General features: G+C 37.9%; 1 protein-coding gene and 1 pseudogene across 2 annotated transcripts in view; both read left to right on the forward strand.

The window, feature by feature from the left end:
* TOR1AIP1 (torsin 1A interacting protein 1) overlaps positions 1-14,753 on the forward strand; it is a 37,792-nt gene that overhangs the window by 11,446 nt on the left and 11,593 nt on the right. For both annotated transcript variants that reach the window (NM_001267578.2, NM_015602.4), the window contains exons 4-7: positions 6,396-6,437; positions 7,572-7,658; positions 10,236-10,292; positions 14,093-14,134. In NM_001267578.2, coding sequence (NP_001254507.1) covers positions 6,396-6,437; positions 7,572-7,658; positions 10,236-10,292; positions 14,093-14,134 — 228 coding nt within the window. The remainder of the gene's footprint in view (positions 1-6,395; positions 6,438-7,571; positions 7,659-10,235; positions 10,293-14,092; positions 14,135-14,753) is intronic.
* Positions 6,532-6,834, forward strand: RN7SL230P (RNA, 7SL, cytoplasmic 230, pseudogene; annotated as a pseudogene).

A 14,753-nucleotide genomic window follows, 5' to 3' on the forward strand; every position in this document is an offset into this window, starting at 1 on the left:
CATGCCCAGCAGATAGTCTTAAAACTATCTGTACCAGGGGTTAGCAAGCTACCGCTTCTGGGTGAAATTGGCCTACAATCTTTTTAATCAGCCCATGAACTAAGAAGGAATTTTTACACTGCTGAAAAAGACAAAGCATGTAACAGAGACCTTATGTGACTCACAAAGCTTAAAATATCTACTATTTAGTCCTTTATAAAAAAAGTTTGCTGACCCCTGATTTATACTGATGGCAAGAATAAAGACAACAAGGCCGGGCACGGTGGCTCACACCTGTAATCCCAGCACTTTGGGAGGCAGAGGCGGGCGGATCACGAGGTCAGGAGATTGAGACCATGGTGAAACCCCATCTCTACTAAAAATACAAAAAAGTAGCTGGGCGCAGTGGCGGGCACCTGTAGTCCCAGCTACTTGGGAGGCTGAGGCAGGAGAATGGCGTGAACCCGGAAGGCAGAGCTTGCAGTGAGCCGAGATCCCGCCACCGCACTCCAGCCTGGGCGACAGAGCGAGACTCTGTCTCAAAAAAAAAAAAAAAAGAATAAAGACGACAAATCACGCAAATGGTCATTTGTTTGTTGTCAGAGTAAATTCAGGAGTTATATACTTGCTCGAACATATATTTATTACAACACTCCATACTAGGTTGTACCCAGAGCACAAGAAGAAAGGAAACAAGCTGGGCCTGGTGGCTCATGCCTGTAATCCCAGCACTTTGGGAGGCTGAGGTGGACGGATCACCTGAGGTCAGGAGTTCAAGACTAGCCTGGCCAACATGGTGAAACCCTATCTCTACTAAAATTACAAAAAATTAGCCAATTGTGGTGGCAGGCACCTGTAATCCCAGCCACTTGGGAGGCAGGCAGGAGAATCGCTTGAACCTGGGAGGTGGAGGTTGTAGTGAGCCGAGATCGTGCCATCGCACTCCACTGTCGGCAACAAGAGCAAGACTCCATCTCAAAAAAAAAAAGAAAGGAAGGAAGCAATGACTCCTGTGTTCTATCCAGTATTCCTTTGAGAAAGCACAGTAGTCTTATTTATATTTTCATGTCTTTGTCCCCAGACAAAACACAAAGTAAGCCAAGTTTATGTTTTCTTGAGTGGCCTTTGCTCCTCACACCAAGTACCTCCCACAAATTTCTAGGAATAGCAAAATCTACAGGAGAAATGTAGATGCTTTGGCACCTGGGCTTTCAAAATAACTAGGGAATTTTATAAGTTGTAAAAGGCCGGGTTATACCTAAGGTTTGAATTCCTTAAAAACTGGCCAAGTAAAAGAAAGTAAACAAAGTGGCACAATTAATGCTTGGTTTTCACTAGAGGCGATGACTGTTAAGTGATCTATCTTAAACATAAAGACCTCGGACTTCTGAAAGTAGCTTTTCCTAATTGGTTGAGGTTACTGGAAAATATAACACCTTCTTAAACAGCATGTTTAATTATTACCATTTGTCTATATATTTGCTAAAGCCACAGCCTTTATGATTTCTTTAATAATGTTTTAATATTAAGGATTTTTTGCTCAAAATATGATTTTAATTCTCAAAGCTTCTGTATGAACATTGGGAAGAGTAATACCTTTTTTAAAAAAGTATTTTTTTAAGGCCAGGCATGGTGGCTCATGCTTGTAATCCTAGCTGTTTGGGAGGCCAAGGCAGGTGGATCGCTTGAACCCAGGAATTTAGCCTGGGCAATGTGGCGAAACCTCGTCTCTACAAAAAAATGCAACTGTTAGCTGGGTGTGGTGGCACGTGCCTATATTCCCAGTTACTTGGGAGGCTGAGTCTGGAGGATCACTTGAACCCAAGACACAGAGGTTTCAGTGAGCAGAGATTGTGCCACTGCACTCCAGCCTAGGCGACAAAAAGAGACCTTGTCTCAGAAAAAAGAGGCCGGGCACGGTGTCTCACACCTGTAATCCCAGCACTTCGGGAGGCCGAAGCAGGTGGATCACCTGAGATCAGGAGTTCAAGACCAGCCTGGCCAACATGGCGAAACCCCGTCTCTACTAAAAATACAAAAATTAGCCGGGCATGGTGGCACAAGCCTGTAGTCCCAGCTACTCGGGAAACTGAGGCAGGAGAATCACTTGAACCCGGGAGAATCACTTGAACCCGGGAGGCAGAGGTTGCAGTGAGCCGACATTGCACCACTGCACTCCAGCCTGGGTGACAGAGTGAGACTCTGTCTCAAAAAAAAAAACAAAAACAAAAAACAAAATCTAATGCTTTAACTTTCGACATGTAGCAGCCAAGTTTAAAATAGAGGTAGGTGAAAAACAAAAGAGGGAAATGAAATTAAAGCTTATGTAGTCATGGCTACTGATTCATCATCAGATCGCACTTAAATATTTATTTCCATTCTTTGCAGCTTGGGTAAAAAGGTGGAATGTTTAAAACCTTGCAGGTATCTAATTATTAAGCACTAATTTCAGACTTTTTAAGTTGCTAAGTAACGTTAATCATAGTATGAGAAATATTAGCAAAAATCTGGACTTAACATCTTTATTCTATAATCATAAAATCTATTTTATTCATGGAACAAACTTTTTTTATTTTTATTTTTTTTGAGACAGGGTCTCACTCTGTCACCCAGGCTGGAGTGCAGGAGCGTGATCTCGGCTCACTGCAACCTCCGCCTCAAAGTGCTGGGATTACAAGGCATGAGCCACCATGCCCAGCCAAACATTTTTAAACACCTTCTTTATGTCAGTGACCGACCTAAGTGCTAGGATCATAAATAGCCATTCAGGTTTTTTTTTTTTCCTACCTCTTAGATGTACGTGATGTAATGGAAGAGAAAAACAAGTTTACAAATCTTTTTTTTTTTTAAGTGCTGAAATAGTGACATATGTCTGCGGGATCCTAGACGAGAAGCACCCTACTCAGTGGAAGAGGTTGAGGCGGTTTTATGAGTTGGAAATGACATTTGGATTGAATTTTGAGGGATGAATAGCAGGCAGAATGAGGACGGAGACTTGCAAATACTACAGTTTGCTTTATAATAGACATTTTACCTTTAGAGAGCATGCAATATGAGAAATTAAAGTCTTTTATATTACAGACAATACTCTCACACTAGCCATAATTCTTTATCTGAGACGTTAAATAATGTTTAGAATGACATTCGAAATCATAGCAGGCTTGGGTTTCTTGAGCTTTGTTTACCAGAATGAAAACCTTGTTTTAAAATGTATCTGTAGCCAAGACAGTAGATAACCTGATTCAATAATGATTGATTGTCAAATCTACGGGGATTATTATTATTTAAGATCTAATTCATAGATATTATTGGATTATAAAACACAAAATAGTACTTTTTTTGTTTTTAGTGATGGGATCAAGATAGCATTGCATAACTAGTTATTCTTGTTTTGAATACTATTGATAAATATTTATTGTTAGGAACATAGAATTCTAAAAAAGGATCTTTAGTCACTAGATTAAATCCAGAAGTCTGAAAAGTGTTGAAAAATGGATAGAATCCATGATTTATTAGATACTTCAAATATAATAACATGTTAGAAGTATTAAAATCAAATGGGGAGCTCCCTTATGTAAGCTGGCTAAAAAATAATTATTAAACCATCTCTCCATGCTAATTAGATAACACATAGATAAGCAGAAAAAAGATTGAATTTTAGGCAACTTGGTATATGGAGAAATGACTGTTAAATGAATTGGCTCTAGACAAATTGACCTGGAACTTCAAATGTGTACAGAAATAAAACATATCTTCAAATGTATACAGATAAAACATACCTATCGAAAAAAGGGATTACTGTATTAGTCATACTACTGTACTGTGTACTGTACTGTACTATTCTGATAGCTCAACAAATGAATGTAAATCTCCAACATATCCTTTCCATTATTATAGATTCTAAAATCTATTCAGCCCTAGTTAAAGAGGTTTTGTCTACCATATAATTTTTAGAGTAACTATGTAAAACATAACACTGAAATATAAATGGGACCTTAGTAAAGCCTACTGTATTACATGAATTACACTTAGAAGTTTATTGGAACCTCTCATATTAGGAAAAGTTCAGCTGTCAGCCGTTTCTTTATTCATCTATTCAAAAAATTGGCCAAGTGCAGTGGCTCATACCTGTAATGCCAGCACTTTGGGAGGCTGAGGCAGGCAGATTACTTGAGCTCAAGAGTTCGAGACCAGCCTGGGCAACATGGCAAACAAAACCTTGTCTCTACAAAAAGTATAAATATTAGCAGGGTGTGGTGACATGTGCCTGTAGTCCCAACTACTCAGGAGGCTGAGGTGGAAGGATGGCTTGAGCCTGGGAGGGAGGGGTTGCAGTGAGCCAAGATCACACCACTGCACTCCAGCCTGGACGACAGAACCAAACCATGTCTCAAAAAAAAAAAAATTATTGAGTGTTTACTATGTGCTGTTATGAACAAGACTGATGAGGTGGTAGGATTGTAATAGACTGGAAGTCAGAAGAACCTGCGGTCTTCTGGCTTTTTTTATTATTAAATTAGACCTATACCCTTAGACAAGTCACTTGATATCTATGAACCTTACTTATGAAAATCTTCCCTTATGATGAGATGGGAATCAGATGACATTCATGAAGGGTTTTTTGAAAATCAAATAGCATCATGCAAATATTAAGGACTTAGCATTTTAAGATAATAACAAAAATATGATTATTGATTCTTAAGAAAGCATCTTGTATTTGCATGCTATGTGAATAGTTACATAAATGAATAAAGTAAAACTGCTATACAAAAATATGAAGTACTATAATAATTATGCACTTAGATAATAAAACTTCAAAAAGAGAACAATACCTTTTTGTAGGAATGGAAATATTAATTAAAAATTTTTGGCCAGCTGTGGAGCTCATGCCTGTATTACAGTCTCAGTACTTTAAGAGACCAAAGTGCTGGGATTACAGGCTAGGAGATGGGAGGATTGCTTGAGGCCAGGAGTTTGAGACCAGCCTGGTCATGATGTAAAACCCCATCTCTTGTTTTAAATTAAAATCTTAAAAAAAATTTTTTTCGTTTGACTTTTCCTTTTTCTCCCTCAAAAAAGAGAAAAAGAAAGGACAGTGTTCCTAAGAAACCTAGAGCAAAATAGTACTTAATACACCAGAGTCTAGCTCTTTAAGAGTAACATGGTGTTATCAGCAGTTTTCTCTGGGTTAGTTTTTTTTTTTAAATAAAAAAATGTTGGCAAATATATTTCAGATACTGATTTGCACTTGCCACTGTCAAGAGGAAGTATTTTCAGTGGAACTCAAAGCTTGACTAGTATTATACTAATCTAATTAAATGGATTTAAAATAAATATTTTCAAATTCACCGTATAATGTGTTAGCAGTTGCTTTCTATAATACTATTGTCCCTTTTAATAAGCAAATTGAGGTTAAAATCAGTAGAGATAAAAGCTGAAATTTTCTCAGCTTTGTTGAAGAAGTCTAAATCATGCTACTTCTCTACATATGATCCTTCAGCGATATTTTAACCCAATTGTGAAATACCTGCATTTGGGTACATCTCACTATTTTTTTTTTTTTTAAGTTTCAGAATAGCCCATGTAAAAATACTATGTTCCAAGTTTATTTGATGTGTTTTGCTTGTTTATTTTTGTTCAAATTCTCTTTTGCACTGGAAAACAGTGACATACATGGACCCGCCAGAACTAGAAGTTTCTTTACCTTTCTTCCTCTTTGGATACACCAATGCTCGAAAGAACTGGGTTATCAGTCCAGTTAGTGTAGTTGGTTTTTAAAGGGAGTATAGGGGATTTGGCAAATAAGAGAATGAGAATATAGCAAACCTATACACACTAGAATATTTGTCAATGTAGAATTTAATGTTTTTTTTGCATACAAAGGTTACATTTTAGAGTAAAAATAGACCTGTGACTGAAGGAAAATTAAACACTTCATTTCCTTTTTCTGTTTGAGACAGAGTCTTGCTCTGTCGCCCAGGCTGGTATACAGTGGCGCGATCTCGGCTCACTGCAACCTCTGCTTCCCAGGTTCAAACTATTCTCCTGCCTCAGCCTCCCGAGTAGCTGGGATTACAGGCACACACCACCACTCCTGGCTGATTTTTGTATTTTTAGTGGAGACAGGGTTTCACCATGTTGACCAGGCTGGTCTCAAACTCCTGACCTCAAGTGATCCACCCACCTCGGCCTCCCAAAGTGCCGGGATTATAGGCGTGAGCCACTGCACCCGGCCAATTCTTAGTGATTTAACAGAAAAAGAATTTATTTAATGTGTCCTCATGTTCATTTTCCTAAACGAGATGCTCTTTTATTTATTCCTAAGCTTTAACTTTTTTCCTAAGCTTTTGTTTATTCCTAAGCTTTAACTTTTGATGTTATATGTTTAATATTTGATGTATGCTTTTTTCTTCTAGAAGCCACCAGTGTCCAACAGAAGGTCAATTTCTCTGAAGAAGGTATTTTACTTGTAAATATCATATAATATATACTTTAAGTCTTTTTCTTTACATTAGAAGCCATTCTGATAGATATTTAAGAAGTGGGAACAGAGCCGGGGACTGTGGCACATGCCTGTAGTCTCAGCTACTCGGGAGGCTGAGGCAGGAAGATCACTTAAGTCCAGGAGTTCTGGGCTGTCTGTAGTGCACTATGCCGATCAGGTGTCTGCACTAAGTTTGGCTTCAATATGGTGACCTCCCGGGAGCGGGGGACCACCATGTTGCCTAAAGAGGGGTGAATCCATTCAGTTCAGAAACGGACCAGGTCAAAACTCCCGTGCTGATCAGTAGTGGGATTGCAACTGTGAATGGCCACTGCACTCCAGCCTGGGCAACCTAGTGAGAGCCCATCTCTTAAAAAAAAAAAAAACAAAAAGAAGTTAGAACAGAAAATAATGTGTTTTTCTTCAAGAAAAAAAATTCATGCTTATCTGAACTGTTAACTGGGCAGAAATAATAGGACAGATAGAATGAGTGATGACAGCCTTACATTTTAAGCATCTTTTGTCTATTTGGGTTCATTTTAAGCAAAGATAATATTTTCTATTATGGTATTAAAGTAATCAGTTTTCCAAATTCTCATAACCAGTTTATGTTTGAAAAGTACAGGAATAAAATTTAGTTTTTGTTGAAGCTCAGCATAATCTGAGGGTGGTCACCTGCATAATAGAATGTTTGTGTGCAGGTGTGTGTACACTACCCCTCTACCACCAACACACACACACAAATACACATCTGAATTTAACTACACACTAATTATATGTAGTTTTCCTCCCCATAAACTTTTTCCACTGTTTAACGCTCATCTGTTCATTTTTGACTCTACATTAAAGCCTTATAGTTTTTTAGATATTACTCTGAATATTTGTTTAGGAAAGTATTATGTGCCCCAGAGGACACAAATTGAGATAAATTTTAGTTCCTTTGGAACTTTGGGATTCAAAATAATAAGCATGATAAACAAACAGTAGTTCTATATCTGATAACTTAAAAGGCTTCTTTTAATGTTAAATTATTTGCTTGGTTTTTTTAAATTCAGATCTTCTGAGCATTAAAATAGACTATATTAGTATATTGTTTACTTCTCTTTAGGAGAAACTGAAGAAGATGATCAAGACAGCTCTCACAGCAGTGTCACTACTGTTAAGGCCAGATCCAGGGATTCTGATGAATCTGGAGGTAATATTGCTTTATATACATATGACTCTTCTCATAGAACTATCTTTGGTATTCCATGAATTTGCTTTTTAAAAAAAACTTTCAAATTTTTATTAATACTTTATAAAAAGTCGTGAATTTTTCTTTAAATATTTATTAAAATTACTGATTTCGTGTTCATCCGATTAATACTATGTCATGATATCTAAACAAATCACTTTTAGCTTTTTTTGATATTTGTGGAAAATAAGATATTTTTGTGCTCAAAAGAAGAGTTACTTGTTGTTTTTTGAATTTTATAGAGAAACTAATCACATTGCCATTGGGACTGACAACACTATCTGGAGTGTTACTTTTAGGAAGTTTTCATTTAATTATATAACTAGCTTTATCTCTGGATTTTCAAATTCAAACCAAATTATTAATTAACAAGTTCTGATTGTTTATGTGAATTTAAGTTTATTCAATGAAAGAGTTGACTAAAGAGAGAAAAATACCAGTTTGAGGCTTAAGATAATGTTGAACAAGACCCTCCCCCCCAAAAAAGATAATGCTAAACAAATTTGTAAACTCTGTAAATAATGAGTAATTTTATACTTTAGTCCTGCACTTTCCCTTCACCACCTCCTTAAAATTTCTGTAATTCCAATTCTTTTTTTTTTTTTTTTTTTTTTTTAAGGCAGAGTCTCACTCTGTCACCCATGCTGGAGTGCAGTGGCGCAATGTCGGCTCACTGCAGCCTCTGCCTCCTGGGTTCAAGTGATTCTCCTGCCTCAGCCCCCCAAGCAGGTGGGATTACAGGTGCGCACCACCACATCTGGCTAATTTTTGTATTTTTAATAGAGATGAGATTTCACCATGTTGGCCAGGCTGGTCTTAAACTCCTGACCTCAGGTGATCCACCTGCCTCTGCCTCCCAAAGTGCTGAGATTACAGGCCTGAGCCACGACGCCTGACCTGTAATTCCTATTCTTTACCTCATCATTTCACTTTAAAAATAAGTACATAAGCTGGTTTGGTTTTTGTTTTTATTTTTTTGAGACAGGATCTCTCTCTGTCACCCAGGTTTGAGTGCAGTGATGCGATCATGGCTCACTGCAGCCTCGACCTCCCAGGCTTAAGCAATTCTCCTGCCTCAGCCTCCCAAAGTGCTGAGATTATAGGTGTGGGCCACCGTGCCTGGCATTATACGCTGGTTGTTGGGCATTTGGTATTCTGTGTGTTTCCCACCCTTCCTCATTTTTCCTATGAATTCTTGATACAGAAATGGAGATTTGTAACACGCTGGTAGTGTCTAGCTAGAATTTCTGGGTTCCATTCCTTCACTTTTTAGCTGTTTGCCTTTAGAGAGTTATTTAACTTCTGTGTTCCTCAGTCTTGTCATCTGGATTGTTGTGGGGGTTAAATTAATTCATATATGCAAAGCACTTACCTGGCACATAGTAAACACTAAGTGCTGTTATTAGTGTTCATACATATTACATGAAGCTCTAAAAATTAGAGGTTAATTAAGCCATTTATATAGCCAATAGTTTGCTGCCATTGCTACCAGCATAACTATTTGGAAGTACATAAACCTCAGGTCCTGTGATTGCGCGATCGCACTTCAGCCTGGGCAACAGAGCGAGACTCCATCTCAAAAAAAAAAAAAATATGGGCACTTCACCTTTTTGTATCAATGTGTCTGTTTCCAAAACAGCAACCTGATCACTTTTAAACTAATTTAGTTATAAATTCTACTTTTATTTGGGAAAAAATGTTTTTAAGAAGAGTAGACTGAAAGCAAGGCATGGTGATAGGTACCTATAGTCCCAGATACTGAGGAGGCTGAGGCAGGAGGATCCCTTCAGTTCATGACCAGCCTGGGCAGTAACGTGAGACTCCATCTCTTAAAAAAAAAGAAGAAGAAGAAAGAAAGAAAAAGAGTATACAAAAATATTGCCCACTTGCAATAAAAATTTAAAGCAAAAATGGATATTAATGATTTCAAGATGCTCCACTGTTGTAAACTTTGAAAATTTTCCGCAACTCAAAGGTTTTATTATGTCATTACCTTGGGGCATGTTCTGTATCATAACAATTTTTTAAGTGGTTATTAGCTAATATTTTAGATGTGACATGACTCTTTAGAAACTTTTTTAACCTTTTTTTTTTTTTTGAGACAGAGTCTCACTCTCTTGTTCAGGCTGGAGTACAGTGGTGCGATCTCGGCTCGCTGCACCTCTGTCTCCCTGGTTCAAGCAGTTCTCCTGCCCTAAGGCCTCCCGAGTAGCTTGGATTACAGGCACGCGCCACCACGCCCAGATAATTTTTGTATTTTTAGTGGAGACGGGGTTTCACCACGTTGGCCAGGATGGTCTCAATCTCCTGACCTCAGGTGATCCGCTTGCCTCAGCCTCCCAATGTGCTGGGATTATAGGCAAGAGCCACTGCACCCAGCCTAGAAATTTTTTAAATAAATTATGCATCCACGTTTTTAACCACCTGGGAGTTACCCGAATATTTTTGCTCTTTTTATTAATTTCTCACTGTTGTCTTGTAAAATGTACAGTCTAAAAGTTGGATATTATTTATAGTGTACTGTTTTTTATTTTTTAGATAAAACCACCAGATCATCTAGTCAATATATAGAATCATTTTGGCAGTCATCACAAAGTAAGTAAAGCTGTGTTTACAGTGTCTTCCTGTGAGCTTGGTCAAATGATGTTCCTATTTTTGAAGATCCTCTTTTGAAATTTAACGTAAATATTGAACAAGAGGAATAATGAATGCTAAAAAAAAACTTATCCGATATCTCTCTACCACTTGACCTTGCTTATTGAGTTATTATTCTCTATACCCAAACCTGAATTTGAACTTAAAAAACAAACAAAAAACTACTACTTCCTGTGATTTGTTGAATGTCTTTGCTAGCAGTATAAATGGGTTGATTGCTTTTATTTTAACAGACTAATGTAGTAGTTTGAGCCTATTTATATGCACTTATTCTAATAAGGACATAAAATTTTATATTAGTACAATTTCAACTCTGTTGTAAAAGTTTGGAAGGATGAATAAATAAGTGATAAAGCACATGTAATAAAAAGTTAATGGCAAGCTTGGTTATGGGTATATAAATATTCATTTCAGTCTTACAACTGAAAATTTTTGTGATCAAATATTGAGAAAGTATAACAAAAAAAGATTGGAAAGTCATATACCAAAATGCTAATAATGATTTGCTTAAGAATCATTGGTGACATTTTTTTAACTTTATTATTTTCTTTTTTCTTTTTTTGAGACAGGTTTTCACTCTGTTACCCAGGCAAGTGTAGTGGTGCCGTCATGGTTCACTGTAGCCTCGAACTCCTGGGCTCAAGGGATCCTCCTGCCTCAGTTTCCTGAGTAGCTAAGACTACAGGCACGTGCTACCATGCCCAGCTAATTTTTAAATTTTTTGTAGAGACAGAGTCTCACTATCTTGCTCAGGCTGGTCTCAAACTTTTGGGCACAAGCATTCCTCCCACATCAGCCTCCCAAAATGCTGGGATTGCAGGTGTGAACCATTGCGCCCAGCCACCTTTATTATTTTGTTACTACTGTTTTTTTCTTTTGACATTTTTAAATCAAGTCTCCCAAAATCTGAGTTAGTTATTAATCAACCAAAAATATCTTTGTATGTAAAAATCTTCAAGAACTTTTTTTTTCTTCCACATTACTTTCTTTTCTTAAGAAAAAACTTTTGGAAGGCCAGGCGTGGTGGCTCATGCCTGTAATCCCAGCACTTTGGGAGACCAAGGCAGGCGGATCACTAGGTCAAGAGACCGAGACCATCCTGGCCAACATGGTGAAACCCCGTCTCTACTAAAAATATAAAAATTAGCTGGGCGTGGTGGCGCGTGCCTGTAGTCCCAGCTACTCGGGAGGCTGAGGCAGAAGAATGGCGTGAACCTGAGGGGGCAGTGCGGAGCTTGCCGTGAGCCGAGATTGTGTCACTGCACTCCAGCCTGGGCGACAGAGTGAGACCCTGTCTCAAGAAAAAAGAAAAAAAGAAAAAGCCTTTGGAAATCTTTTTTAAAATCATTGTATTTCTAGAATTCAATTTTATATTTTTTATTTTAATTTTTAATAGGTTCTGGGTTTGTGACTATAAAATGAGACATAAAATGAATTAGCTGCTGGGAAAAAATCAGTTGTGGAAAATTACTCTTCGAATTATTTTATGTATTTGCCCTATTTTACTCCAAATCTTTGATCTTTGGAAACTCTTAAATGTATCTACCCGTATAAATGATATTATACCCATGCAGTGAGATACTATTTAGTCTGGGGACGGTGGCTCACACCTGTAATCCCAGCACTGTGGGAGGCCAAGGCAGGTGGATCACTTGAGGCCAGGAGTTTGAGACCAGCCTGGCCAACATGGTGAAACCCCGTCTCTGCTAAAAATACAAAAATTAACCACGTATGGTGATAGGTGCCTGTAATCCCAGCTACTTGGGAGGCTGAGGCAGGAGAATCGCTTGAACCCAACAGGCAACGGCGGCAGTGAACTGGGATTGCACCACTGCACTCCAGCCTGGGTGACAGGGCAAGACTCCATCTCAAAAAAAAAGAAATACTATTTAGAAATGAAAAATGAGTTAGTTCATTGTATCCTAATGAAAAGTTGATCAAGATATATTTCATTGACTTTAAGATACTATTGATTTTATGTATCAATGAGAAAGAAAAACCATCCAGTTAAACTATGCCATACCATTAATTAAAAGATATATCTGTAGATCAAAGGGCATTTTTTAAAAAGTATGTCTTAGAATTTGATGAAAATATTAAAACGTATGTATCCACTTTTTTAAAAGTATATTTTTAGTATAGGCTGAAAACAAAGCTGAGAGAATATCTGTCTTATTTACCATAATATTTCTATGTTCAATGTTTTGCACATAGTAGATACTTAACAGATAGATATTCATGAATTTTTAAATTAAGCATTTCTAGAATGGCCCCTTTTTTTAAACAGCTAGCACATGTTTGTATTCAGAAAAAGTTGAAAATAAATAAATGTAAATCGATACTTGTATTTATCATCAAAGAGTAACTCATTTTCTCAGGGCAGATTTGAAAATTTACCTTGTTATAATTGTAATGTCATTTTTTAGTCATCCCATTGTGTCATTTTACAGTTATCCTTAAATACCACCTCAAAACCTGAAGTAGCATGTTTTACTTCATAGCTACTTTGCAATGTCCATAAATCTGCATAGATAGTACATACCATTTCTTTATGGTATGGTATGTGGTATATGATATGGACTGCCTGGATTTGTATCTCAGCCCAACTACTTTTAGATATATAATTTTGGAAAAATTACCAATTTTGGTTCCCCCCCCCCCTTTTTTTTTTTTGAGACAGAGTCTCGCTCTGTCGCCCAGGCAGGAGTGCAGTGGTGTGATCTCAGCTCACTGCAAGCTCCGCCTCCCAGGTTCACGCCCTTCTTCTGCCTCAGCCTCCCGAGTAGCTGGGACTACAGGCGCCCACCACCACGCCTGGCTAATTTTTTATATATTTAGTAGAGACGGGGTTTCACCGTGTTAGCCAGGATGGTCTCGATCTCCTGACCTCATGATCCACCTGCCTTGGCCTCCCAAAGTGCTAGGATTACAGGCATGAGCCACCGCATCCAGCTGATTTTCCCTTATTTATAAAATACGAACAGTAATAGCATCTACCACATAAGAATTAAGCAAAATTGGCTGGGCATGGTGGCTCATGCCTGTAATCCCAGCACTTTGGGAGGGCGAGGCAGGCAGAGCATTTGAGGTCAGGAATTTGAGACCAGCCTGGCCAACATGGTGAAACCCTGGTCAGGAGTTTGAGACCAGCCTGGCCAACATGGGGAAACCCTGTCTCTACTAAAAAGACAAAAAATTTGGTCAGGCATGGTGGTGCACACCTGTAATCCCAAGTACTTGGGAAGGTGAGGCAGGAGAATATCTTGAACCTGGGAAGCGGAGGTTGCAGTGAGCTGAGATTGTGCCACTGCATTCCAGCCTGGGTGACAGAGTCAGACCCTGTCTCAAAAAAAAAAAAAAAAAAAGAATTAAACAAAATTATACTTGATATATATGACTATATGTAGTTTTTATTTTGATGGTACTGATCCTAAACTAACTCCTTATTGTTGCCCAATTCCTAAACATTTTGAAGTTTAGAAATGAGGGGGAAAGAAATACACACACACTTTATATATATATATATATATATATATGTATATATATGTATATATATAGTATATGTATGTTTTTTATATATATATACTTTATATATTTATATGCTTGGAATTGATGAGAGAATGTTTTTTGTCTGTTGTTTGTTTTTAGTATCCACAGTAAACAAGCAAAATGTCTGTGCAACATCTTTTTTGTTGTTATTTTCAAGTATTCTATGACCTTATCCCTGTTTTCTGTTTCAGGTCAAAACTTCACAGCTCATGATAAGCAACCTTCAGTGCTAAGTAAGTAGTTGGTTGTCTGCTCTTTTTTCAGCCAATCAATTCTTTTCTCTTTTTTTTTTTTTTTTTTTTTGAGACGATGTCTTGCTCTGTCGCCCAGGCTGGAGTGCAATCTGGGCTCATTGCAAGCTCCACCTCCTGGGTTCACGCGATTCTCCTGCCTCCGCCTCCCAAGTAGCTGGGACTACAGGCGCCCGCCACCACGCCCGGCTAATTTTTTGTATTTTTAGTAGAGACGGTGTTTCACTGTGTTAGCCAGGATGGTCTTGATCTCCTGACCTCATGATCCACCTGCCTCGGCCTCCCAAAGTGCTGGAATTACAGGTGTGAGCCACCGCACCCAGCCTCAGTCAATCAATTCTAACCTTGCCTTATTCTCCCAACAAAAGTTGTAATAAGATTTTAAGTCATTTTACCCCTCTTTACCTTTTTAATTCACCACGGATTGGTACTACCTATAATAATTACTCTGTGATATGGAAATGTGTTCAGGGCTATTTTACCACAAGTAATTTGTATTATGTGATAATATATTTATTTGCTACCTGCTTTGCTGTAGGAAGTGGTTCATCCTCACTGATACGATCCTTTGAAATTATCTTTTACTTATAAAACTATTGCT

The sequence above is a fragment of the Homo sapiens genome, chromosome 1, assembly GCF_000001405.40.
Source record: "Homo sapiens chromosome 1, GRCh38.p14 Primary Assembly".
NCBI lineage: Eukaryota > Metazoa > Chordata > Mammalia > Primates > Hominidae > Homo > Homo sapiens.